Source organism: Homo sapiens, chromosome 6 (assembly GCF_000001405.40).
Source record: "Homo sapiens chromosome 6, GRCh38.p14 Primary Assembly".
NCBI classification, from domain to species: Eukaryota; Metazoa; Chordata; class Mammalia; order Primates; family Hominidae; genus Homo; species Homo sapiens.
The window spans coordinates 151267864-151295851 of NC_000006.12; the positions used below are offsets into that span (position 1 = coordinate 151267864).

Consider the following 27988-nt stretch of genomic DNA (forward strand, 5'->3'; position numbering starts at 1 on the left):
ATTTTTCCATTGCCGGGAGACAGACATCGTTCCTCAGGCACCCAAACCTGTCTCTCTCGGCGTTTGCTGATAGAGTGGGCTGAATGGTCATCGTCCTTGTGCCCTCTTCAGTTGCCCTGACTCCTATGCATGCTCCTTGAGTGTCACCTTCCTACCTGACAGATGCCATACCCTTCCATCCCCAACTCCCATTTTATCTTTTCCTTCTAAGCTGGATCTAGGAACCCTCACGGGACCCACAAGTAACCGTTATTAAAACAGTGTGACTGCTGGGTGGGGTGGCTCATGCCTGTAATCCCAGCACTTCGGGAAGCGAAGGCAGGCGGATCACCTGAGGTCGGGAGTTCGAGACCAGCCTGACCAACATGGAGATGTATTTTTGTATTTCTACTAGAAATACAAAATTAGCCAGGCGTGGTGGCACGTGCCTGTAATCCCAGCTACTTGGGAGGCTGAGGCAGAAGAATTGCTTGAACCCGGGAGGCAGAGGTTGCGGTGAGCTGAGATCACGCCATTGCACTCCAGCCTGAGCAACAAGAGTGAAACTCCGTCTCAAAACAAACAAACAAAAAAATAGTGTGACTATATGTTCTCAAATATATGTATTTAAGGCAAAAATAACACTTGGCAGCTATATAAAACTAGATTTAGCATGAATCTGTTCTTTTTGCTTACAAGGGAAGATAAGACTTCTAACCAAATACCCATATTATATGGAAACTTCCAATTCTATGTAACGTTTCCATTTTGGAAAAGACTTGTGGTTTTTTGTTTGTTTGAGTTTTTTTAAATTCTTTAAGACAGATTCTCACTGTGTCACCCACACTGGAGTGCAGCAGCCTGATCTCAGTTCACTGCAACCTCTGCCTCCTGGGTTCAAGTGATTCTCCTGCCTCAGCCTCCTGAGTTAGTTGGGACTACAGGCATGTGCCACCATGCCCAGCTAATTTTTGTATTTTTTGTAGAGACGGGGTTTCACCATGATGGCCAGGCTGATCTGGGACTCCTGTCCTCAAGCGATCCACCCGCCTTGGCTTCCCAAATTTCTGGGATTACAGGCATGAGCCACCGTGCTCGGCCTGTTTTTTTTTTTTTTTTTTTTTTTTTTTTTTTTTTAATCAACATCTAAACCCTTACTTTAATATTACAGAGGGAAAGTTGAAAATTGGGCTTAAACCAGGTGTGAGAAACATTTAATATCTAATGATTAAATCTCATGGTCAAGATGAAAGATGTTCAGTCTTAGGTGAAATCTTTCTCACAAAAGTTTTCTGTGGACAGTTGAATGTAGACAGTACAAGTGGCTTTTTTAAAATTTTGAGGCAGGTCTTTTTGAAGACAGCTGTAGCCCATTAGTAACGGTCCCATTCAAGGATGGATGATAATCCCAAAATGTCAGTGGCATTTTCAGTTTTTTTGTGTGTATTTCAATTTTATATTTTTTTCTAAAATTTTTTATTATTCAGTGCAGAATTTTTCTCAATAGCATTTTAGACTTGTTTGTCATCCTGTTTGTCTTCTCCAAATTTAGTGGAAAAGGAACTTCTTTCTTTCATAGAACTTGCCAAGACATCTGGGGAGGATTTCATAATTAAAGAATGTATTTTATTTCCTTTAGGAATCAACAGCACTTGAATCTGATTTGCCATGACACTTCAGTGTTGCTCAACTCAAGAGGCATTGTAGTTCCATTGTAGTTCTTGTTTATGATTAATAGGAAATGAATACTCTGGAGCAGATACATTTACCCCAGGAAGATATCTCTGGATCACTTTGCCTCCGAGCACTCTTCCTCTGAGATATTTTCCTAGTCTCAATTGCTGGAAAAGTATTAATTCTTCCAGGTTTTTCAGATAACTTTGTTAAGATAATAATTCACGTACTGTACAATTCACCATTTAAAGAGTACAACTCAGTGGTTTTTAGCATGTTTACAGAGTTGCATAACTGTCATGATCTTCGAACATTTTCACTCCCCAAAGAAACCCCATACCCAGTAGCCGTCACTCTGCATTTCCCACTCCCCTCATTCCCAGTAACCACAGAGCCAAATCTGTCTCTCTATGGATTTGCCTATTTTGGACATTTTGTATCAATGGAATCATACAATATGTGGCCTTTTGTGTCTGGCTTTCATTTATTATGGTGTTTGCAAGATTCATCCATGTTATAGCGTACATCAGTACTTCCTGTTTTGTTGTTGTTGTTGTTTGAGACAGTCTCGCTCTTGTTGCCCAGGCTGGAGTGCAGTGGCGAGATCTTGGCTCACTGCAACCTCCGCCTCCTGGGTTCAAGTGATTCTCCTGCCTCAGCCTCCCGAGTAGCTGGGATTACAGGCATGCACCACCACGCTGGGCTAATTTTTTGTATTTTTAGTAGAGATGGAATTTCTCCATGTTGGTCAGGCTGGTCTTGAACTCGCAACCTCAGGTGATCTGCCCGCCTCGGCCTCCCAAAGTGCTGGGATTACAGGCGTGAGCCTCTGAGCCCAGCTGGTTTTTTAAACTGCTGTATAATATTCCGTTGTATGGATATATCCTACGTTTTATTTATCCATGCAGCAGTTGATAGACATTGGCATTGGGGTTGCTTCCACCTTTTGGCTGTCATGAATAATATTGCTATGAACACTAATGTACAATTCTTTGCCTGAACGTAAATGTTTTCATTTCTCTTGGGTATTTATCTAGAAATGAAATTGCTGTATGTTAACCCTTTGTTTAACCTCTTGAGGAACTGGCAGACTTTTCCAAAGCAGCTGCACCATTTTAAATTCTAACCAGCAGTGTTTGAGGGTTCCAATTTCTCTATATCCTTGGTAACACTTGTTATCTGCCCTTTTGGTTAGAGACATCCTAGTGAGTGTGAAGTGGCATCTCACTGTGGTTTTGATGTGCATTTCCCTGATAGCTAATTGTGTGGATCCCTTTTGCTTTTAGTGAATGAAATATCTGGTAGTCTCGTATGCCAAACTAAAGCTAAAAATTAAAAATGACTTCTGAAATGAATGTGTATATGACAGACATCATGATGAATCCAAGTGAGCATTATGCACTCGTAGCAATCGAAGCAGACTTCTCTGGCTTCTGAATAACAGTTCTTAGAGTTCTAATTTAGTATTTGGATAGAGTTACTGCTTCTAGTTTGGGGAGTTAGTTGCTAAAATAATAAAATGTCTCCATGGTAGGGAGGGGTGATGGTGAGGAGGTTTGCTGGTGGTTGGTTAAGTATGTTTCCCACCAAATATGCCGAAGCAGTTTCTTCTGTTAGTTACAGGTCAGAATCTTTTTGCCATCTTTGCTTTCTTTCTCCTGTTTGCATCCTTTTTGTTGTTGCTGAACTTTTTTAGAGTAAGTTTTAGATATCAGACACTTCACTCCCAGATAGTTCAGCATCGTCTCCTGGGAATATATCCCTACATTCTTCTGCTTACCCCCAGTGCCATTATCACAACGAAGAAACTTTTTTTTTTTTTTTTGAGAGGTTCTCATTCTGTCGCCCAGGCTACAGTAAAATGGAATGATCTCAGCTCACTGCAGCCTCTGCCTGCCAGTCTCATGTGATCCTCCCACCTCAGCCTCCGGAGTAGCTGGGACTACAGGCCTGTGCCACCAAGTCCAGCTAATTTTTGTATTTTTTGTAGAGATGGGGTCTCACTATATTGCCCAGACTGGTCTTGAACTCCTGAGGTCAAGCAATCCGCCCACCTCGGCCTCCCAAAGTGCTGGGATTACATGTGCGAGCCACTACACGCCCCCAGCCCACAACTGAAAAACTTTAACATTAATTGATTTTATTTATTTGTGTATTTTTGAGACAGAGTCTCAGCTCTGTCGCCCAGGCTGGAGTGCAGTGGTGCGATTTCGGCTCACTGCAACCTCTGCCTCCCGGGTTCAAGTGATTCTCATGTCTCAGCCTCCTGAGTAGCTGTGATTACAGGCGCTTGCCACCACGCCCAGCTAATTTTTGTATTTTTAGTAGAGACGGGGTTTTACCATGTTGGCCAGGTTGGTCTCGAACTCCTGACTGCAAATGATCCACCCACCTCGGCCTCCCAAAGTGCTGGGGTTACAGGCGTGAGCCACCACACCCAGCCCAACGTTAATTTAATGATATCATCTAAGATAGAGTTCGTATTCAAACTTCCTCTGTTAACCTTAAATATATTTTATACCTGCTTTAAAAATTGGGTCCTGGCCAGGCATGGTGGCTCATGCTGTAATCCCTGCGCTGTGGGAGGCTGAGGTGGGATGATCACTTGAGGTGAGGAGTCCAAGACTAGCCTGGGCAACGTAATGAGACTTCAGCTCTATAAAAATAAAATACAAGAAATTAGCCCAGTGTGGTGGTGCAGGCCTGTAGTCCTAGCTACTTAGGAGGACTAGGTGGAAGGATCCCTTGAGCCAAGGAGTTTGAAGCTGCAGTGAGCTATGATTGCATCACTGCACTCCAGCCTGAGTGACACAGTGAGACCCTGTTTCAAAAAAAAAAAAAAACAAAAAAAACAGTGGGGTCCAGCATATAACCAAATTGCATTTGGTCATGTTTCTTTTCTAGTTTCTTAAACTAGAATACTCCCTTTGCCTTTCTGTTTTTCGTACTCCCTTTGCCTTCCTGTTTTTCATGAGATGATAGATAGATAGATAGATAGATAGATAGATAGATAGATAGATAGAGATGGAGTCTCACTCTGTCTCCCAGGCTGGAGTGCAGTTGTATGATCTCGGCTCACTGCAACCTCGGCTCACTGCAACCTCTGCCTCCTGGGTTTGAGTGATTTTCCTGCCTCAGCCTCCCCAGTAGCTGGGATTACAGGCATGTGCTGCCACGCCCTGTTCATTTTTGTATTTTTAGTAGAGACAGGGTTTTACCATGCCAGGCTGGTCTCAAACTCCTGGCCTCAAGTGATCCACCCGCCTTGGCCTCCCAAAGTGCTGGGATTACAGGTGTAAGGCACCGCACCCAACCCATGAGATTTATTTTTATAAAGAGCCCAGGCCAGTTGTCTTATGTAGTGGATTTGTCAGATTTATCTATGATTAGATTCAGGCTGGACATTGTTTTATTTTTGAGACAGAGTCTTGCTCTGGCTGGAGTGCAGTGGTGCAATCTCAACTCACTGCAAGCTCCGCTTCCCGGGTTCACACCATTCTTCTGCCTCAGCCTCCTGAGTAGCTGGGACTATAGGCGCCTGCCACCACACCTGGCTAATTTTTTGTATTTTTAGTAGAGATGGGGTTTCACCGTGGTAGCCAGGATGGTCTGGATCTCCTGACCTTGTGATCCGCCTGCCTCGGCCTCCCAAAGTGCTGAGATTATAGGCGTGAGCCACCGCGCCCCGCCCAGGCTGGACATTCTTAGCAAGAATACCACTTAGGTGATGCTGTCGTGATGGTGCGGTGATAGTGAGTCTTTACTGTTGTATCACACCAGCAATCACAGACAATGCCTGTCCCTCCTGTTATTGCTGATACTGAGTTTGACTGTTAGATGCTAGTAAGGGCTGAGTTTCCCTGTGGGGTACTATGGTAGTTTCATACCGGTGATTCCATTGCCAGTATATTCACATCCAGTGATGACTCTCGCGTAAATCACTGTGAAATGGTGACTTTCTCATCTGTTATTCTTTTCTATATTTCTCCATCTGGCATTCTTCCATATAGGTGAGCTTTTTCCTTTTACCCTCATCTCTCCCTTTGTTTTCCCTTAAAAGTTAAACATCTTTTTTCCAACAATGAAGTTATTGAACGTATTTCCAACTTTTATGTCAAACTTAAGGAAAGAGACCTCCAGCAGGCCAGTTCAAAGACTCTTTTGGTAGACATATTTAATGGAAAAAGAATGGCTAGGTGGTTACTTTTAGACTAGTTAAAAGAATGAGGCCAGTTGGGCGCAGTGGCTCACGCCTGTAATCCCAGCACTTTGGGAGGCTGAGGCGGGTGGATCATGAGGTCAGGAGTTCAAGACCAGCCTGACCAACATGGTGAAAACTCCGTCTCTACTAAAAATATGAAAATTAGCCGGGTATGGTGGCGTGCGCCTGTAATCCCAGCTACTCGGGAAACTGAGGCAGGAGACTCGCATGAACCCAGGAGGTGGAGGTTGCAGTGAGCCGAGATTGCACCACTGCACTCCAGCCTGGGCGACAGAGCAAGACTCTGTCTCAAAAACAAAAACAAAAAAGAATGAGGTCAAAATGGTTTCCCTCAGTTCTTTTTTTTTTTTTGAGACAGGATCTTGCTCTTTTGCCCAGGGTGGAGGGCAGTGGCGCAATCTCGGCTCACTGCAACCTCTGCCTCTTGGGCTTAGGCAATCCTGTCACCTCAGCCTCCCAAGTAGCTGGGACTACAGGGGCAGGGGCATGCCACTACGCCCTGCTGATTTTTGTATTCTTTTTGTAGAGATGGGTTCTACCATTTTGCCCATGCTGGTCTGGAACTCCTGGGCTCAAGCAATCCACCTGCCTTGGTCTTCCAAAGTGCTGGGACTACAGGCGTGAGCCACTGCACCCGGCCTACCTTCAGTTCTTGAAGATCACCTGGGGGTGTGGTGATGGTGGAGGAGGTGGGGGGGTTGGGTAGTAGGGAAGTGGTTTAAAATTATAGATCATGATTTCGTTAAAGTGTATCAGAAACATTTTGTTGGGAATGTTTTCCTGAAGAAAGTCATGAATTAAATCATGCAAAAAAGTTCTGTCCTTGAGAAGGTAGGGATCTTTAAGCATTGTAAGTATGGAAATTAGAAATTATAGAAAGATTTAAAAATATAACAAAAAATAGAAGTTCCTATTTAACACAACCATTATCACTTTTGTGTGTTCTTAGAAAAAAGGAGTGTTTGTGAGTTGGGGGCATCTCACAATTTTATAGGCAGTTTCTAACTTCAAAGGCATTTTTGAGAAAACCTCAAGGTCATAGAAACAGTAGTATAAAAATGGAGGTAAGAATTTCTAATTGTCACTGGGCTAGGTAACTCATTCCTGTAATCCCAGCACTTTGGGAGGCCGAGGCAGATGGATCACTTGAGCTGAGGAGTTGGAGACCAGCCTCGGCAACATGGGTGAAACCCCACCTCTACAAAAAATATAAAAATTAACCAGGCCTGATGGCACATTCCTGAAGTCCCAGCTACTTGGGAGGCTGAGGCGGGAGGATCGATTGAGCCTGGGAGGTCGAGGCTGCAGTGAGCCGTGATCGCGCCACTGCACTTCAGCCTGGGTGACAGAGCAAGACCCTGTCTCAAAAAAAAAATTTTTTTTTAATTGTAATTTTTCTCACAAACATGTTTGACCCATATGTGATAACGTGGTGACACTGGTTGTACTCCCCAACCACTGTTTCTGTTCCCCAGCAAGGGGATCTAAACCGTTTTTCTTCCCAGCTCTTGCTTGCTGTGTCTGGAAAACACATTTGAAAGGCGAGAGGTTTGCATTCGAGAGAGGCTGGGGCTTGATGGTGTCCCTGGAGTTTAAAAGGCTGAGGTTTCCAATGCTATTTGCTTTCGGGATGTTGAGCCCTCAGAGTAACAGATGCCCTAAAATTGTACATTTTCCATCTAGAAAAGGGGAAAAAAAATCTGTAGAAGAATGGATTATGAAAAACAAATCTACCCTCCAAGAAGGTGGTCAACAAAACAGCGTGACTGAGACCTTCACTCAGAAATTCCACGATAGCAGACGTCACCTTTCTCATGTTCGTATTTTGTTGTAGAAGACATTTGGGTGAATCATTGACAGTCTTTTTTTATCAGAATACTTTAATACATTTTACATTGATTTAGGAATTTGGATGTTAAAAATGAGAAATCTTTTACGATGGCATGATCACTGGAAGGAGTAAGGTTTTTTGGGATTATTTTCCTACCATCTGTTGTCAGCAGGACCACCTGCGTATCATTTTCCTTCCATCAAATGTATGACTTAGCCGCCAAGTGGTGCCTTTGTATTTTCCACTCCAGTGTGGGATTGCAGAAAGGCTGTTTTTATGCTTATTTTTGTTGAATGGTTTTATGCTGATGAAATCAATTGAATACCTCGTTGATCTGGAAAGTTGTTCTTATCATCTGGACATCCAGACTGGTTCCATTTAATTGGTTAGCATTTATCTTTGCAGAAAGAAAATCGCTGGTAAATAAAAATTAGACTGAACATAATTATTAATAGATGTCACCACTAAGCATTTGTTTGCCTTGGTCTAACAGTTGTTGGTTAACACATTGATCAGATTGGAGTTTTGTGTGTAAACATACTTTTGGTGTAGTTTTGAGCCTAAGGAGACCTTGAAATGCAATTTTCAGTGTAGAACAAAAAATCTTGTACTTAAATAAAAAATCTTTCCATGTTCCTGAACACCCTTTAAAAAAAAATCTTGAATAAAATTTAAATGTAGCAAAGCTAAAATTGTGTAAAAGTTCATTTTAATAGCAAGGTGTCCTGGTGGTTATAGTCACTGATTGCAAGTGCTTGCTAATAGAGCCAGGAATGAGTGGCAAATTTAGATTCCTTCCTCCAGGAATTTGCTTCATGTTTGAAAGTGATTAAGACATTTTCATAGCTGCCAGTACATTCAGTTGCATCAGACATTTGCTCTACCCATCAAAACATGTCTGTAGTTTTTGCTTAGGGCTGTAATGGAATTGAGAAAGGATGGCTAATTAGAGTAACTTTGCTTAGTCAACGGTCTGGCTGTTGAAGGGATTTGGTTCCTCCAGTGCTGACCAGCCTTGCAGTCACTGCAGAGCAATCTCCCAGTGGACGGAGCCTCCCTGAGCCTCGCACAAAGAGAAGCCAGCGCAGCTGGGAGTGGCTCCAGGAGCACAAAACACTAGGGGATCCAAGACTTGAAGAAACTTATGTATTTATTATTTATTTATTTGCCTGTTCCCCCTAGCAAGTCACTGATTGTGCTTTATCACGATCGTATGCTTTTATGAATGCTTTAGATCACCCATTGATGCCTCTGTCCCTTTTTCTTGATTTATCTGTTTAGTAGTAAGAATACAAGGGGACTTGTCCTCTAAGTCTATCTTTTATGGAATGGTATGGAAGGATTGAGTTTTTCTTGGCAGTTTGAGGTGGAATTCTTTGTGTATGCATCTCCACGGGCACATAATCAATTGAAGCAATTTAAGTCAAATCTTGCTCTTGGTCATTTAGTTAACAAGAAAACAAACAAACCTAAAAACAAATACAACAACCTGTGCAATCTTGAAGATACCGAAGAAAATGAATAGGAATCCATCCTTTCCTAGGTGTCATTACTTCTGCAGCTGTTTAAAGGTGGGTTTCTACACACTGGGGCTCCAGATGTCCACCGTAGCAGATGGAGAGATTGAGCAAATGTCTGAAAATGGCTATTAATTAATGAGGTTGCAAGATACTTTTGTCAGTTATGAATGTCACGTAGACTGGGATGCTTTAGTAAGCAATATGTATGCTCTTGATTTAAAAGACAGCCTGGATTTTATCTTTTGGGGGAGAGGAGTACTCGTATGATAACCACACCTATAGACAAAAATCCTGGTTCCTGTCTCTACTCCTCTTTAAGAAGTGTTTTTTAAGTGCAAAATGGATGGTAAGGCGTATTGTTTCTAAACATCTAGATGTTTCCAATAGGAGAACTTTGTAGAACTGAAATAATTTGAAACAATACATGCTAAATTCCTTTACCTCAAAATTTGGTGCTTGGTAAATGATAGATGTTTAATAGATATTTATTGAATGAGTTAACTATTAGGGCTTACAAAATGATCAGGTTTAAACCTGCAAGCAGACTCTTGCCTCCTATTTTGTATTTTCTTTGGTAATCTTTTATTTTAACAGGAATATAAATCCCATTTTTTATTTAGTTTTTTCTTTTGTTCTTCAACAAATATAAAAGACACTTTCAATGTGAATAAGAATATAATCAGGAACAAATTTTAAGAGTAATATGTGGATTTTGTAAGGATTTACTCTTCAACTGTATTGGTTCTTCTGGTGCTGATGTTTTTCCTAATGTTAAATACAGCATTAATCATTGAAATACGTAAGACATGTTACGTCTTCCCTTTTCAGATCCTTAGGCAATAGCTAATAGGTTTATGTGTGTGTGTGTGTGTGTGTGTGTGTGTCTGTCTGTTTATTTTTTTCTACCTTTGTCTTACTATTGTGGAAGGGAAATAATAGAATTTGTCCTCTTTTATATTTTATTTAAAATCTACAATGATGAAAATGTATCACTTAAGGTAGTAGGTAAAAAGTTTATGGATTAATTTTGTATTAACTTTCTTTGAGGTCTATAATTTATTAATGTGGATGGATTTACAATGAAGGGGAATTCAGATGTTGTGTTTTTTTTGGTTTTTTGTTTGTTTGTTTTGTTTTGTTTTTTGAGACGGAGTCTCACTCTGTCACTCAGGTTGGAGTAAAGTGGTGCGATCTCGGCTCACTGCAGGCTTCGCCTCCTGGGTTCAAGCGATTATCCTGCCTTAGCCTCCCAAGTAGCTGGGATTGCAGGCGCCCACCACCATGCCCAGCTAATTTTTGTGTCTTTAGTAGAGACAGGGTTTTGCCATGTTGGCCAGACTGGTCTCGAACTCCTTACCTCAGGTGATCCTCCCTCCTTGGCCTACCAAAGGGCTGGGATTACAGGCTTGAGCCACCGCACCTGGCTGTGTCATGTGTTTTTATCAAAGAAGAATCATAGCATCGTAAATCCAGTTGGAGGTCAGTTTCTGGGAAGTTCTGTTCTTTGACTACTGTTGTATTGGAGATCACTTTCTCTCTGAGATGATGTTATTGGTACTGCAATTAATGAACGGTAGTGTCTAGTTTTTTTTTTTTGAGACAGAGTCTCGCTCTGTCACCCAGGCTGGAGTGCAGTGGCGCGATCTCCGCTCACTGCAAGCTCTGCCTCCCGGGTTCACGCCATTCTCCTGCCTCAGCCTCCCGAGTAGCTGGGAGTACAGGCACCTGCCACCATGCCCGGCTAATTTTTTGTATTTTTAGTAGAGACAGGGTTTCACCGTGTTAGCCAGGATGGTCTCGATCTCCTGACCTTGTGATCCGCCTGCCCCGGCCTCCCAAAGTGCTGGGATTACAGGCATGAGCCACCGCGCCCGGCGGTAGTATCTAGTTCTTAACTTAGCATAGAACAATGGTTTTTAAAGTGTTCTTCATTAAAACTTACTTCATTTCTGTTTTCTAAAATTCCTAAAATAAATTGTTCAATAAGCAGTTATAGTGGATTTGAAATAGAGAACACACCTGGAGTGTCATTACTGCCTACACTGCTTGAGTGGCCTGGAGGGCTCACACCCAGAACCTGAGTCGGACTTACTTAGGAAGACATTCTCTGTTGTTTTAGTGTTTTAAAAGATTGTATTCCCTGGTCTCATCAAAATGTTATCTTTTTTTAAGAAAGTAGGGATAGAGAAGGAATTTCTCTGGCATGGTTTCTAATCCTAACAAGGTCTGTGATGCTTGGCAAGTAACATTCTTTCAGGATTTGGTTCTCGTCAGTGTCATGGAAGGGACTGTTTTAGGTGATCTTGAAGAACAGCTCTTCAGGTTTTAAATTTTTGTGTGTGTGTGATTAACTTAAGAATGGTGAGTGTATTTATATACAACTCTCCTTGACTTAGGAAAAAATGTACAGCAGTTTTTAATATGTATGCAAGAAGAAACGAGAAATATACGATAAAGGATAAAGGTGGGAAAAATCTGACCATGGAGAAGGCATTCTATAACATTTTAAAAATTTACTTTCTCTCTGTTTCTTTTAAAATTGACCCTTAACACTGCTCGGTGAGGCATTTAAATAATAGAAACGGGCTGGAGACAATAAGCAAGCAAAAGCCGGCGAGGTGGCAGGCGCCTGTAGTCCTAGCTACTGGGGGGAGGCTGAAGTGGGAGGATTGCTTGAGCCCAGGAGGTTGAGTCTGCAGTGAGCTAACGATTGCACCACTGCACTCCATCCTGGGTGATGGAGTGAGACCTGGTCTCTTTAAAAAAGTAAATAAATAAGCAAGTGAAATCAAACTTGAAAAAATTTTAAATAAATATCTTTTTTTAAGCATAAAAGTGGTATATTGTCATTGTGCAAATGCCACCATATAAGAAAAAAGTTCCTTCATTCCCTCTTGTCTTCTGAGATTTTTCTTACATACACAAACAAACATATCCTTTCGGTTGTTGTTTTTTTTTTTTAAATATGCATATAGATAATACTGTTGCGTAACTTGCCTTTTTCACTCAATAGGAAATCATAAGCACCTTTTGGTTCAGTATACACAGATCTGGCTCACTGCTTAATGGCTATATGTTCAGTGACATGGATATACTCTATATTTTTAACCAGTCTCTTTACTGATTGACATTTAAGTTGATTCTGATGATCTCCTATTACAAGTAATGCTGAAATGAACATCCTTTCATATATAATATAATTTTGATATATAAAATGAAAATTATGTATAATATACATATTCATTTATGCTTGTGCAAATATTTCTATAGGACTAATTCCTGGATGAAAGGGAATGCCCCACCCTTCCACCCTTTTCTATATGATAAATTTCTGACACATTTACTTGTTAACCAAGGAATGACTTAAGTTTCAAAATATGCTTAATGCATTCAGCTTTCAATAGCTCACAGCACACACTGTATATAAAAATATGGAACGCTTTACAAATTTGGGTCTCATCTTTGAGTAGGGGCCATGTATCGTTTCCATTTTAGTGTCTGTGCTGCCAAACCAAACGAGCGCTCTTTTCTTTTCTTTCTTTTTCTTTTTCATTTTCTTTTTTTTTTTTTTTTTGAGAAAGGACCTTCCTCTTGTTGCCCAGGCTGGAGGGACACAATCACACCTCACTGTAACCCCAAAGTCTGGGCTCAAGCGACCCTCCCACTTCAGCCCCCCGAGTAGCTAGGACTACAGTTGTAGGCCATCACGCCCAGCTCTTTTCTTTTTGAAAATATTGTAATATTAGATACTTTACGGAATACTCACAATGCCCCATTTTGGCAATCATATTTCACAAACCTTTGACTTTTGACTGAGTTGCAGTTAGCTTGAAACACTCGCGTTTTGCTTTCACTTAGAGAATTACCATTTCTTATGTGTAATTCTAAAGATATATACAGTTAACAAGGTCATGTTTAAATTTACCAGTAAACACATTGGCAGCTTCTTTCCATTCTGCAGGAAGTGGCTGTGTTTCTGTGCTTTCATCCTGTTATTTCCTTAGGGTAAACATCTAGGCTTCATGCAAAGTAGAAGGGGCATGTGCGTGGTGTTCAGGATGTGGATTTGAATCCCCAACTCAGCCACTTACATTAGATAAGTGACTTAACTTGCGAGCCTCCCTCTACAAACTGGATGAAGGTTGCTAAAGAATATGTTTTTACAAGTTGTGCTAATTTTAATGCTACTGAGAACAAATGAGTGCTCAGATTTGGCCACGTCAGTGATATTGGTAGTGTTACTTTGACAGGTGAAGGATGGTGTTTTAAGTTTGCCTTGACTTTTGCATTTCTGTAACGTATGGGAAGAGATAACTGTAATTCTGTAGGTCTATGTATTGGTTCGCTATTTTAATTTCAGGTTATGAGCAGATTTAGTGCCCACTTTATCTTTTGAGGTCTTCTTATATGCTTCAGATCTCATGGTTGATACTTCACATTTGCAAGAATTTCTCCTACACATAGGGAATAGCCTCCCAAATCCTAACTCAACCCATTGTATTTTGATGATGCTATATAGAATTTTAAGTCTTGGAATTGGGGCATTCTATGTGAGGCTAGGACCCAATTTCCTGCGGCTTCATTCTTTTCTCCACACACGTTTGTTTTATTTATTTGTTTATTGAGACAAGGTCTTGCTCTGTCACCCAGGCTGGAGTGCAGTGGTGCTCACTGCAGCCTTGACTTCCTGGGCTCAGGAGATCTTCCTGCCTCAGCCTTCTGAGTAGCTAGGAATACAGGCCTACACCATACCCTCCCTTCCCCAACACCCAGCTAATTTTAAATTTTGATGTAGGGATGAGGTCTCCCTGTGTTGCCCAAGCTTGTCAAACACCTGGCTTCAAGAGATCCTCCCACCTTGGCCTCCCAAAGCACTGGGTTTATAGGCGTGACCCACCAAGTGCAGTCTGGCATGACCTCCCATGCCAGAATGTGTGATGCAGGAGCGGGCTGTCCTCTTCCCCCTCCTGTTCCCGCTCTCAGCTGCCCATACATCTATTTTTATTTTTTCTGAGATGGAGTCTTGCTCTGTCGCCCAGGCTGGAATGCAGTGGTGCTATCTCGGCTCACTGCACCCTCCGCCTCCCAGGTTCGAGCGGGAGGCAGAGGTTGCAGTGAGCCGAGTAGTAGCTGCCTCAGCCTCCTGAATAGCTGGGACTACAGGCGCGTGCCACCACGCCCAGCTAATTTTTGTATTTTTAGTAGAGACAGGGTTTTGCCATGTTGGCCAGGCTGGTCTTGATTTCCTGACCTCAGGTGATCCACCCACCTCGGCCTCCCAAAGTGCTGGGATTACAGGTGTGAGCCACCGTGCCCAGCCTGCCCATACATCTTAAGGGACCTCCAGCTCACGCATGGGGGTTTTCCAGCCCACATGCCCAACCTTCACCAAAACAAATGTGCTGTAGCCCTTTGGTCTAGAGGTGCCCAGGGAAGAGGCTTGCATAGGTTCTGAGAATTCCAAATCTTGGGCCCCCAGGACAGGTGGATGTTAATTTCAGGAAGGTTTGCCCTTTTGGTTGCTGCGGGGGAAGGATGTAGCCAGAGGAGGGCCAGAATGGGGCTCTCCGCAGTGAGGGGCTCTGCCTGGGTCTGATGGTGTTACTGCTCACAGGGATTCTTTGAAGCAGCTGCTGATTCCCCGACTTCTCTTGTCTATTGGTTGAATAATGTTTTCCCTGCTGTCTACCTATCAGGTTATTCATTCCTGATTACTGTCAATGTTCAGGCTGGTCAAACTTGAAATCATTAACTATATAAAGTGTATTATGTATAAAGTGCTAGATTTGTAAGAAAGTTGCTATCTTCATCTTCATGGAGTTTAGTTTTTATCTTGGCTAAGCTCTTGCTAATTTCCCACAGTATAGCCTGCACTCATGTTATGAAAAAATTTAGATGACTGTTGAAGAGTATTCAGGATTTCTTTCTTACTTCTCGGCCCAGGACTGAGCCTTTATGAAAGTGGGTAGCAGGAGATTTTAGAAAAGTGGAGGCCCTTGTATAAGGAGGCTGGGCTCCATTTAATGACGGTGAGGAGGCACACTTTAGGAACTAAAGGAGACCAGCATGACAGATTGAGCGTTAAGGTAGAACTAAACAAGAGGCACTCAAAGGCAGGGAGATCAGCTCTTAGGATATTGCATTAAATCAACCATGAAATGCTAAAGCTTGAACTAGGGCAGAAATCAAGCAATGGGTACAGACAGCATTGAACACAAAAGAAATGGTAGGATTTGAGGGAGCATGAGGATGACCAAGATGCAGAAAAGCCCAAGATGGTCTCCAGGTTTCTAGGCTTTTCCAACGAGGATGCTAATTCTTTGCCTGAAAAAGAGTATTATCAAGTAAAGACATGGTCTCACTGTTGACCCAGAAAATAGAGGGACAGGGTAACAAAAGCAGTGATTTGTTTTCTGTAATACTAATGGCTGACACTGACTAGTGCTTACTGTGTCAGGTGCTGTCTGTCCTACGCGCTTGGTACACTTGTGATAGACACTTATAAATCCCCATTGTACCAATGAGGAAGCAGGCACCTAGAGGTGAAGGAACCTTACAGGTAGGGCCTCTTCTCAAGGCGAGGCATTCTGATCAGAGAATGCCTAAGAGAGGGAGAGACAGAGACAGAATTCAGTATAAAGACAGAAAGCCCACTGTTAAAAGCAATGTCAGGTGTTTTTCTGAGAGCTCAGAAGCTGTCACTGACATAACCAAACCTCAAATCCGGGAGTCATTCTTTTTCCGTTGGCAAGTCCCGCAGGCCTCATCTCCAAAGACATTTCACATCGACCCATTCTGTCCACAGGGCCTTCCCTGGCTTCATTTCTCCCCTGAATGGACACAGCAGCAGCCTTCCTGCCTCCAGCTTGCTCTCCTTCAGCTCCTCTCTGCAGGCAGATTGCTGGTTTGGGGGTTTTTAGGGTTTGTCTGTGGTCAATTTATATCTGATAAAGCGAGCAAGTCTTAAGCGTATAGCTTGGTGAGTTCTTACAAGGTGAACGCACGAGTAACCCTCTCCCAGGTCAGGTTGGAGAACCTCGCCAGTGCCCCAGAAGCCTCCCTTGCATCTCCTCCTGGTTATTGCTCCATTACATTCTGACTTCTGTCTGCACAGATCAGTGTCACACATCGTTCACCAGGTATGCAGTGATCTTTGAAACCTGCACGTTGAGTCATGTCGTTACCAGAACTCCTGGCATCACTTCCACATTGCACTCTTTGCCATTGCCTGACATGAGATAAATAAGAATGCATGGCTGGGTGTGGTGGCTAACACCTGTAATCCCGGCACTTTGGGAAGCCGAGGTGGAAGGATCGCTTGAGCCCAGGAGTTTGAGACCAGCCTGGGCAACATGGCGAAACCCTGTCTCTACAAAAAATACAAAAAAATTAGCTGGGTGTGGCAGTGTGCGCCTGTAGTCCCAGCTACTTGGGGGGCTGAGGCTGGAGTATTGCTTGAGCCTGAGAGGTCAGAGCTGCAGTGAGCCATAACTGAGCTACTGCACTCCAGTCTGGGCAACAGAGCAAGACCCTGTCTCAAACAAAACCGAAACCAAAAACAAAGAATGAACACATGTCGATGTCTTATTTCTCTCTTCCCTGCCATTGGTACTTTTTGCCTATTCAGATCCAGCTCAAAACTCAACTTTTTCTGGTACACTTTCTCTTATCAACAGAACTGAAAGAGACCCCTCCCTGTTAGTACTATGTGTCTTAGTACTCTGTCTTTGATGTGTGGCACTTCCTTTTGACTTGACGCATCCAGATGACATAGGAACCCATCACAGGGATTAATCAAATGTTGACTAACGCATGGGGACCCAGGGTGGAACCAAAGCTTTTGCAAAATGATGAACATTCAGAGGCTTTGGAGAGTGAACTTGGAGGTCAACAAAGAGAATGAAATGCAAGATGCAGTATGAGCATGTGGTGGGTCTGGACTGCAAGATTCAGGCACTTTATTTTAGGAATAGTTAATGTGAAGAACATGATTTATGAACGACAGAGTGGGGAGTGTATTGAGACCAAGTAAGACTAATGCTCCATTGTGAAAACTTACATATCAAAGCAAATATATTGTCCCCTCTGTCCCCAGAAGCAATAACTGGAAACAGTTTTAGAGGACATAACCTAATTGGTATAAAAACTTTTCACTCTCAGAACTATTTTTCCCATTGTCATAGGAGTGGATACCAAATAATGTTTTCCTGTCTTGGCAGTGATTCACATTACTGAGTTTGCTATTGAACTATTTTTTCCTTGCCAGGAAGTACACATCAGAGAGCTGCATTTCACTGTGTGTGTGTGTGTGTGTGTGTGTGTGTGTGTGTATCTATTTCAATCTACTGATTACCAAAGAGCTTATAATTCTTAATGGAGAGTTTGTGGAAAAGATGAAAAAAGGATTTTTTTAAAGAACAATAACCAGAAAGTTTGAGACAATTGAGTATTATAGCAAAGTCCTTTCTTGCGGTGACTTCTCTGGTTGTAATGTCTTGGGTTAAAAAAAAAAATCAATTTCATGCAAAAAAGGGGGGAGGATTATGTAAACAAAAACAAAAAAATTTAAAGTATCACAGTCTATCATTTGGGTGAGTTGTGGAGGGGAAAAGAAGTCATTTGTACAGTTTGATGAAGAAATAAATGTATTTTCTAGTTTCTAAGATAATCTGTGTATGCTCTAAACTTAAAGCACATCATTTCCTGTAAGTCAGTATTTGGTTCAAAAGTGCAAAGGCTTTATGATTGATCATCTACATCTATCACATGATTATCTTCTGGAGGTGATAATTTTTTTTTTTTTTTGAGACGGAATTTTGCGCTTATCACCCAGGCTGGAGTGAAATGGCGCAATCTCCGTTCTCTGCAACCTTCGCCTCCTGAGTTCAAGCGATTCTTCTGCCTCAGCCTCCCAAGTAGCTGAGATTACAGGGGCACCACCATGCCTGGGTAATTTTTTTGTATTTTTAGTAGGGACGAGGTTTCACCATGTTGGCCAGGCTGGTCTTGAACTCCTGGCCTCAGGTGATCCACCTGCTTTGGCCTCCCAAAGTGCTGGGATTACAGCCATGGAGGTGATAATTTTTTTAAAAGATTAAGGCAACAGCAATTTGAGAGTGAGTCATTGATGGGACACTTGTTTAGGGAAAGCCCTTTTTCCTGCAGAAGCAAACTTGCTTCAGGAATGGCATCAGGCTGAAAGCATTTTCTTTGCATTTCAAATAAAGTTGGCAAGAAAGCTGGCACCTGTCTGCTCCATTTCTGTGCTGTTACTACACACATACGTTCTACTTTGCTTGCTGTCAAGGTTCAAGATCAGTAACAGCAGGGAGGGGGCATTTCCCAGAAGCCCACACGACTTCATGAGGAAGCGCCAACCCTCGCTGGATGGGGCGTCGGCTTGCATTCTTCGGAAACAGAAAACAAAACAAAGAAACTCTCCCTTTCTAGTCACTCACATGTGAATATTGGAGACTGTTTCACTAGCAGTTATAGTCTATACTTCTTGAAATCATTTAGTTTGCTTACAGATCTTGAACCAAGTGGTTAAGGAATGAATCCTTTCCATTGAGGTATCCGTTATCTATTATTATTTATTTAAGCGCATATGAACCAAACGAGCCACTTTGTACTCTGTCTTTCCAGGCGTCAAAGCAGGGTAAGTTGCCCCTCTTGACTGAGTCCCGAATGTGGTCTGAGTCAGAGAAGGTTAGAGCTCAGAGCTCGAGAGAGTTCAGGTCTTTTACAAAACAAAACAAGTCAGGTGAGAACCAAAGCTACTGCTGTTGACTTGACCAAGGTCCCACAGTTGTTGGGGTGGCAGCGATGGGGTAAGCATATTTTCTTTTTCTTTCTTTTTTTTTTTTTGAGACGGAGTCTCGCTCTGTTGCCCAGGCTGGAGTGCAGTGGCGTGATCTCGGCTCACTGCTCACCTCTGCCTCCCGGGTTCACACCATTCTCCTGCCTCAGCCTCCCGAGAAGCTGGGACTACAGGCGCCCGCCACCATGCCCGGCTAATTTTTTATATTTTTAGTAGAGATGGGGTTTCACCGTGTTATCCAGGATGGTCTCGATCTCCTGACCTTGTGATCCACCCGCCTCGGCCTCCCAGAGTGCTGGGATTACAGGTGTGAACCACCACGCCCGGTCTATTTTCTTTTTTTTATTTTGATTTCATTTTATTTTTCTGAGACGGGGTGTTGCTCTGTTGCCCAGGCTGGAGTACAGTGGCACAATCATGGCTCACTGTGGCCTCAACTTCCTTGGTCTCAGGTGATCCTCCCACCTTAGCCTCCTGAGTAGCTGGGACCACAGACACAAGTCAGCACGCCCAGCCAATTTTTGCATTTTTTGTAGAGTTGGGATTTCACCATGTTGCTCAGGCTAGTGTCTAACTCTTGGACTCCAGCGATCTGCCCACCTCGGCCTTGGAAAGTGCTAGGATTACAGGCGTGAGCCATCAGGCCCGGCCATGTTTACTTATTAATATTTTAAAGAATTATGAGGAATGCTTTTACACCGTTGGTCGGAGTATAAATTAGTCAACCATTGTGGAAGACAGTGTGGCGATTCCTCAAGGATCTAGAACCAGAAATACCATTTGATCCAGCAATCCTGTTACTGGGTATATACCCAAAGGATTATAAATCATTCTACTATAAAGACACATGCATACGTATGTTTATTGCAGCACTGTTCACAATAGCAAAGACTTGGAACCAACCCAAATGCCCATCAATGATAGACTGGATAAAGGAAATGTGGCACATATACACCACGGAATACTATGCAGCCATAAGAAAGGACGAGTTCATGTCCTTTGCAGGGACATGGATAAAGCTGGAAACCATCATTCTCAGCAAACTAACACAGGAACAGAAAACCAAACACCACATGTTCTCACTCATACGTAGGAGTTGAACAAGGAGAACACCTGGACACAGGGAGGGGAACATCACACACCGGGGCCTGTTGGGGAGTGGGGGGCTAGGGGAGGGATGGCATTAGGAGAAATACCTAATGTAGTTGACGGGTTGATGGGTGCAGCAAATCACCATGGCACGTGTATACCTCTCTAACAAACCTGCGTGTTCTGGACATGTATCCCAGAACTTAAAGTATTTAAAAAAAAAAAAAGAATTATGGCTGGGTGCAGTGGCCCATGCTGGTAATCCCAACACTTTGGAAAGCCGAGGTGGGTGGATCACTTGAGGTCAGGAGTTTGAAACCAGCCTGGACAACATGGAGAAACCCTGACTCTACGAAAAATACAAAAAAATTAGCTGGGCATGGTGGCAGGCACCTGTAATTTTAGCTACTCAGGAGGCTGAGAGGCAGGTTGAACCCCGGGAGGCGGAGGCTACAGTGAGCTGAGATCGCGCCGCTGTACTCCAGCCTGGGGGACAGAGCAAGACATCGTCTCAAAAGAAAGAAAGAAAGAAAAAGAGTCACGAGCACATTGGTTAAATGGACTTTCCAAACAATAGGTGCTAAAATAAAATTGATAGAGTTATAGTGAAGGATTACAGAGAGCCCCTGAAGTATTTAATTAATATTTTGTGGGATTTGGGGTACAGCTGAACTGCCTGTCACTCTTCCCACTCCCACCCTACCCCCGTTCAGAAGTCACAACTCATGCTTTTGGAGGACAGAGTGAATTTCTCCCAAATTACTGTCTTCTGCCTCCTAAATCAGGACCACATTTTTCAGGTGTGCTTATTTGGGGAACGAGGCCTGGTCTGTGTTCCGCTGTATTGCTGATGAAGCTAAAAATTAAGGGATTAATGGCATCGCTAGATGCGCCCTGTAGCGGCTGGCAGCTCTAAAAGCTCTTCTGACAGCTATAACTTATGATTTATAAATGAGGTTAATGGATTCCTGTTAGAATGGAAAATGCACTTGTGTAAGATCACTTATTCAAGCCGTAATCAGTACCTACTGCAAGTGCTTTCTCCTGAGGCTTGTATTTTTTGCTGGAGGATTTTTGTTTTTAGTAGATATTGCTGGACATAGGTTTTTCTTTTCTTTTTAAAATTTGCAACAAATCCCAAATCACCAGAATTGCTGAAAACATGCTGTGAGAGATGAATGTCAAGTTCACAGTCACTGCCCTTCTCCGACAGAACCAACACCAGCCAGCCCTCGAGCGCAGACGGGGAAATTCAAACTGATACTCTCCACCCCTAATGTTGAGAGAGATGGTTATGCAGCTTCAAGGTCCTCTGCAAATTCACCATACTTGGATAGACTGTGAATGTATTTTTAATTAGGCACTGATTTTTAGAGCATTGGGTTATGTAGTAGTGAATATTCTGACCAGCCTGCATGTTTCAGAAGCAGAAGTATGAAAAAATAGATTTGGTAGCAAACACCAACCAGCCAAACAAAAAAGCAAAAAGCCAAAAACCCATCTTGTGGTTGATGTGGTTTCCATAGGGCTTTGCCTCTCGTACATAGTCACTTCTTAAGAAACACTCTCCCTTTTTTTCTCAGTAGAGTAAGGTCTTGATAAGAAGGTTGCAAGATGTGCAATATAACTGTTTTATTGAGTAATTTTGTTAAACCAGGAAAATAAGAAAGAAAAGAAACTAGAGCTGTTATTTGTCTTTCTTAGAATGTCTTGATCAATACATTCTAGGCTGGCCTGTAAGAAAAAGAAGCACAGGGATTTTGAATAGAGACACTGTCACCAGGTTAACTTTGTAAAGGGAGGGTGGTGGGCTTTCCCAGATGTACTTTCCCTTGTGAGGTTTTAGCTTGGCTCTTAGCTCATTCAAAGCAAAGACTGAGAGATGTTTAATTTGCAAATCCTTCAGGTGTGGAACTTGGATTGTAATTCTTTCCTCCTTGGGTAACATGATGACTAGCATGGTTATGGCTGGCATTTTGCTTTTGTTGTGTTTTGATACACTTTCGTGTTTAGAAGGTAACGCATCCGATGGGACGAGGCATCTGAACAAGATGGTTTGGAAGCTTCCTTTTGAGACTGGAGAAATGTGTGGACTAACACAAATGTGTTCTTAGAATAGTCATCATTTCTTTGTGGGAAACATTATTCTGGCACCTATTAATGCTTATAGGGACTAGAATTGTTGAATTCCTTCTCCACTGAATTCAGGTAGCTTGATTGGGGCCATTTTGGAGGATAGGAAAACTGGGCAGTGTCTGGAAAGGCCAACATCTTCACTGCACACCCTACAGGGAGGGTGGGTGGAAGTTCCCACAGTGGCATCAGTTGGACACCATGACGAGCTCAGTCCCAGGTGACTGAGACAGACAGAATGGAGAAGCACTCACCGTTATCTCATTCTCCTAGCACATCCCTCACCCAACTACAGTCTTTCTCCACTTAGACATCCATGCCACTGGGTGTTACCCCAAAAATCTGAAGCCAAGCAGATTGACCCCTGACAATGAGGCCCTGAAGTTCAGTTACGACTCCTTGAAGACCTCTTACCTCTCACAGGCCAGCTTCCTCTCCCATCCCCCTCACTGATGGTTCCCAGCCTTCACCAGATTCTTTTTTTTTTTTTTGAGATGGAGTTTCACTCTTGTTGCCCAGGCTGGAGTGCAGTGGCATGATCTTGGCTCACTGCAACCTCTGCCTCCCAGGTTCAAGCGATTCTTCTGCCTCAGTCTCCCGAGTAGCTGGGATTACAGGCATGCGCCACCATGCCAGGCTAATTTTGTATTTTATTTTTAGTAGAGACGGGGTTTCTCCATGTTGGTCAGGCTGGTCTTGAACTCCTGACCTCAGATGATCCGCCCGCCTCGGCCTACCGAAGTGCTGGGATTACAGGCGTGAGCCACCTTGCCCAGCCTGGATTCTTGTTTTTCCTTCTCACCCTCTCCCCTACTAAATCCCCTTCTCTTCCTCAGAAGTTAGTCCTTCTAGGTTCTCCCTGTAACCTTACCTGCATAGAAACTCCCCCTCTCTGCACATAAACGGAGCTGCTTTCTGATTTACTTTCCTTTTGAGAGCTGGTCTCCAGTTGCTGCAGATCACCTCATCCAGTGTCCCCTTCACCACCTGTCAGGTTCCCTTGGTCAGTATCATGCCTCTGAGACAGCAGCTGCCCATTGGAATCACCTGGGGGAGCCTTGGAAACTACTAATATGTGGGTCCTTTCCCAGAGATTCTGACTTAATTGGGTTAGGATATAACCACAACAACAGCCCCACAAAAGTATTACCCCTCGTTCTATAGGCTCAGAGGGTGAGAAATTTGCCCACATGTCTCACAGCTGATGAGTGGCTTAGCTGAGATTTCCTTTCATGGGTGAGCTTGCAGATTGTGCTCTTTCTGTTGACTGTCCTGGGCTATGCCAGATCCAGAGAAGCACGGCAGGATCATTACCAGCTAAGAAGGGGTCTTACCATTGCCTGCCCCTTAGGAATCAGTTGCCCTAGGCGAAGTCCCTGTTTTCCTCCAAGCAGACTGATAAACACTGGCTGTGCTCAAGCAGCAGCAGGGCTGGATTCGCGTCACTTACTTTGGTATGCAGGAGGCTGCTTGTATTCCGTGGCGCAGGGAGCTAAGCACACACGTCAGAGAAAGCCATTTCAATTTATCATTTTAATTTTGCTATTAAGCATCCACGGACCCTAAATGGATTCTCCACAATGGCATCTGCAAGTCCATTATCAGCTAAATGTTTAATGAGTTTTTTAAGTAACCGATGGATGCCACAGTGTATAGGAAACTTTCTTGAGTTTTTTTCACATATAAGGAGGCATTTCTCGAAGTCACTTGGGATGGCTTAACATAGCTCATCCCTGCCAGCTGACTTGTGGCCTCTTTCCCTTCCTTCCATGTGCAGTGCCTTCTATCTTGAATGCTGCAGCCAGCAGAGGTTCTGGCAGTGGAACCCTCTGCCTAGTGGGCTTCAGAAAGGAGCCTGTGAGGCAGAGACATTTCAATTGAAAAGCAGTTTAGAATTCAGCCTCCATTTGCTAATTCCCATAGATGCTCGTCAGCAAACACAGGACAGTTGTTTGTGGATTTGAAATTTGCTACTTTTTCATTCTGTATCTTACATTTTGGTGATTGTGCTACAAATATTTGGAGTTGAACATAATAGGATAATCACTGTTGATTCTTGGCTAAATCACATTATCTTAGGCCATCTTTGCAAATCAAGTGCATTCTACTGAAAAGGAGACAAGCAATTTTGCTTGTTCTTTTTCTCTTTCAGTCGAATGGAGCATGGACTTAGAATTGAAGTTGCAATGGGGTGGGCAATACATTCTAACTGGGTTTTTAGTTAAAAATCAGCAATCAGTTTAAGCAATCTGGTTCAAAGGCAGTATAGCTACAAATTTGCAGACAGTGTGTAGTACAGTTGTCCTTCAGTATCTTAGACGAATTGGTTCCAGGACCCTCCCACCCCTGTTGGTACCAAAATACAAGGATGCTCAAGTCCCACAGTTTGCCCTCTGGATCCAGGGGTTCCCAACCTCAGATTCAACCAACCAAGGATTGAAAAGATAGTTTTTGCCGGATGAGGAACTGCAGATACGGAAGGCTGACTGTATTTCATTTCAACAGGGGTCTCGATTATCCTCCTCATTGAATGGTAATATGTTACCTGTTTTGGCAAAGTTTGGAGTAAACTTCTGTCTCCACCTCCCTGTATTGCAGCTGTCAGCATGGTGAAGAGCCTGCAAGGCGTGTTGATGTGTGCTGCCTAGGGCTGCCTAACACAAACCAAACAAACATCCCTTCTCAGGATGGGAGAAGAGCTTTTTATGAGACCTTCTTCTGTCTTCCTCTTGCCCGTCTCTGCCTTTGCCCCCATAAGCAAGTGACAGTTGTGTAGTGTTTAGCCACTACGTATTTCTCATATCTGTCTTCATGGTGGAGCTTCTGATACTCCTATCTTAGGGACACACCTTTGATTAGAAGAAGTAATATTAGCCTCTAAAATTTTTTGAACTTTAAAATCAAGACCTTACTTGGGATAACGCTGGTTTCCTCCTCTGTTGAAATTGTTTATCTCTTGGACTCAGAAACTATTTAGCCTTTCTGTGGCACACAGTGGATTTCAAAACATTTGGTATTATCAGATTTCTAAGCAAGGATGTGATGTAATTATTTTACTACCAAATGAGGATTCTTTTGAGAGAAGCAGCCACTTAACGTGAGAGTAATTGCTTGAATATGAAGTGGTGTGTAGGAATTGAGTGAGAACTGAGATCTTGACTTGCACGTATGCTGTAGATAAAACCTACTATGAATTTGCTGGTGCAGGGCCACAGAAAAAACTAGTCATGAGAATTGCCAGAATTGTCAGAAATGTGTTTTGAGATGATTTATATTCATTATTCTAACTCTTCACAATAACATTTTGCTTATTTTGCAATTGGAATTTGTGGAGGTCCAAGAAGTCAAGATGGTAATTAATTTGCCCAGGACAGCTGGTAGGTGCATCAGCTCAGAGCAGCGGGTGGTGGGGAACTTGTCTTAGACATTCACGATGCAGGTCATGACACTGGACTATAAAGCTGTAGCTCTAGGGGTCTGTATTCTGTGCTCTGTAACTTGACATGATCTGGGACCCAAAGTTAAATAACTAATCAAGAGAAGTCAGGTGCTTTTTTGTTAAACACGGAACTCCAGTATTCCTCTGAAGCTTAAGGAGAGAGTAAGTAACATGGTATTGGGCTTGTTCCCTGTCCTTAACACAAGAATTCTTGGAATTGCCGGATTACATATTCTTCTCCCCTGAGAGGACACCCAGTGCAAGCATGGCTCACATGCCTAAGGTCTGTGTTAGATAGATCATATCATGGATCCAGCATAATTAAGTAGAGATGCATTTTCTTGGTTTAAGTTACCTTAGGGGAAAAAAAGAATAAAATTCTTCAGGTTCAACCTTGGAGTTCTTCTTCTTTTTTTTTTTTTGAGGCGAGGTCTTGCTCTGTTGCCGGGCTGGAGCACAGGGGCGCAATCTCGACTCACCGCAACCTCCTCCTCCCAGGTTCAAGCAATTCTCCTGCCTCAGCCTCCCGAGTAGCTGGGACTACAGGCGAGTGCCACCATGCCCAGCTAATTTTTGTATTTTTAGTAGAGACGGGGTTTCACCATGTTGGCCAGGATGGTCTGGAGCTCTTGACCTCATGATCCACCCGCCTCGGCCTCCCAAAGTGCTGGGATTACAGGCGTGAGCCACCATGTTCAGCCTGGAGTTCTTTCCTGATTCTATGAGGCTGTGAGTAGTGGTTCTTAACCAGGAATGTTATCACCACCACCTCAGGGGAGGTGCACATTTCTTGATATGGGGGGTCGGGGTTGGGGGCACCAGGGATGCCCCATGTCCTGTAATTACTGTCCACAGTGTCCACACAGGAAGATACCGGTTGTATCAGAGACTTGGTCTAGGATTCACAGGTTTTTCTTCCAGTTGGATTTAATGAGCTTCTCTCTGTCCTAAGACCCAAATGCTGTGGGGTTTGCCAACATTACAAGGTAGGCATTTCACAGAACGGAATTCTGGCAGGCCATCTTCATGCAGTGAATTGCTGTCATTGGTAGGTGGTGCTTTTTATTGCCCCCATCTCCAGCAGAGATCTTATAAATTCCCTTTGCCTGAAATCAGCATGGTTGATCTCCCACCTAACCAGATTTAGAGTGCTTTGTTTTCTTTAACATACTTTCCCAGAGAACTCGGGAGTTTTAATACTTTTAAAAACAACTATAACTTTTTATAAAGTAGGGAATACTTGACTGAAGTGTTGTGTGTTAAAACATACTGCATGCATCCGTGGTGTCTTTAGTTATGGGGAATGTTAGTAGATGTGACTCAGAGAGGGTTCCTTGAGGAACTCATTTTAGAAAATGCAGTGATTTCCTCCTTAGTGGTTCAGAATGCACATTAAAGAGTCTTTAAATTCTAAGTAAATCTGCTTAACTCTGTCTGCGTCAGAGTTTCCCAAGCTAACCTGGAGCACAGAACACTTCTGAGATAATGCGTGGTATGTTGGTGTTGATACACGCAGTATACTCATGCTCTCAGAGACCGGTTTGATAAATGCCGATCTTTGAGAATTTAGAGGCCTAATTTGTAGACAACATTCCTGATAAAATGAGTTCACCTGTAGTGGCCAGTCCTTTGGGGTTTCCATAAGCAATGTGAGATACATTATTTTCTAATAAGACATCCAACAATTTGAATATTAATGTTCAATGGAATTAATTTTGCATGCTAAAAGCCAACTGATGATTTTAGTGGATCTCTCTTAACAATCATTCTTTCTCATGTCTAAAGATGAGTTTGGGTTATTTCTCCTGAAATTATGGTTAACTAACTTTCATGAATTTTACTGAAAATGATGAGAAACAGAAAAATCTGGGATTTGTAGACAGTGGCGAGAAACTCTCTGTCTAGTATTTATACCCCTCACCAAGCAGCACTCCTGGGCCCTCAAGCTCTGCTGCTGTGCAGAAACCGTTCCAGCCGCCTTCCTTAAATAGCAAGCACTGCCATTTCAAACACAAGATAAAATTAATATTGGCATTCTGGAAATTAGCATTTTTGCACTAGGATTAAATTAAATTAGTTAAACGAATGTGACAGCATGACAAAGCTGGTCTAACCAAGCCAATCAGGTATTGAAAGTGGATAAATGTTGCTGTTGGGTGAATAGCTCCTACTCGGCAGTTGGTGGGATGATGTAGCGTAGGCTGTAAACCCCATCTTGGAATAAAGACCTGCAGGATAAAGTGCAGTAGGACACGTGGGGTTCAGACAGCTGGGCCCTGTT

General features: G+C 43.0%; 1 protein-coding gene and 1 pseudogene across 2 annotated transcripts in view, besides 3 other annotated features; one reads left to right on the forward strand and one right to left on the reverse strand.

Annotated features, from left to right (window-relative positions):
* The window catches only part of AKAP12 (A-kinase anchoring protein 12), a 118593-nt gene that overhangs the window by 27897 nt on the left and 62708 nt on the right, over window positions 1-27988 (forward strand). The window lies entirely within an intron of this gene.
* Window positions 12652-12749, reverse strand: RNU6-1247P (RNA, U6 small nuclear 1247, pseudogene; annotated as a pseudogene).
* Window positions 16239-16288: an enhancer, noted in NCBI's record as "active region_25279". NCBI's record gives its function as "activates an Ori minimal core promoter by ATAC-STARR-seq in GM12878 lymphoblastoid cells {active_cell/tissue: GM12878}" and the evidence as "EXISTENCE:reporter gene assay evidence [ECO:0000049][PMID:35858748]".
* Window positions 16299-16348: an enhancer, noted in NCBI's record as "active region_25280". NCBI's record gives its function as "activates an Ori minimal core promoter by ATAC-STARR-seq in GM12878 lymphoblastoid cells {active_cell/tissue: GM12878}" and the evidence as "EXISTENCE:reporter gene assay evidence [ECO:0000049][PMID:35858748]".
* Window positions 23054-23554: an enhancer, noted in NCBI's record as "H3K4me1 hESC enhancer chr6:151612052-151612552 (GRCh37/hg19 assembly coordinates)". NCBI's record gives its function as "activates a minimal SCP1, AML or CMV promoter by ChIP-STARR-seq in naive H9 embryonic stem cells {active_cell/tissue: H9 hESC(naive)}" and the evidence as "EXISTENCE:reporter gene assay evidence [ECO:0000049][PMID:30033119]".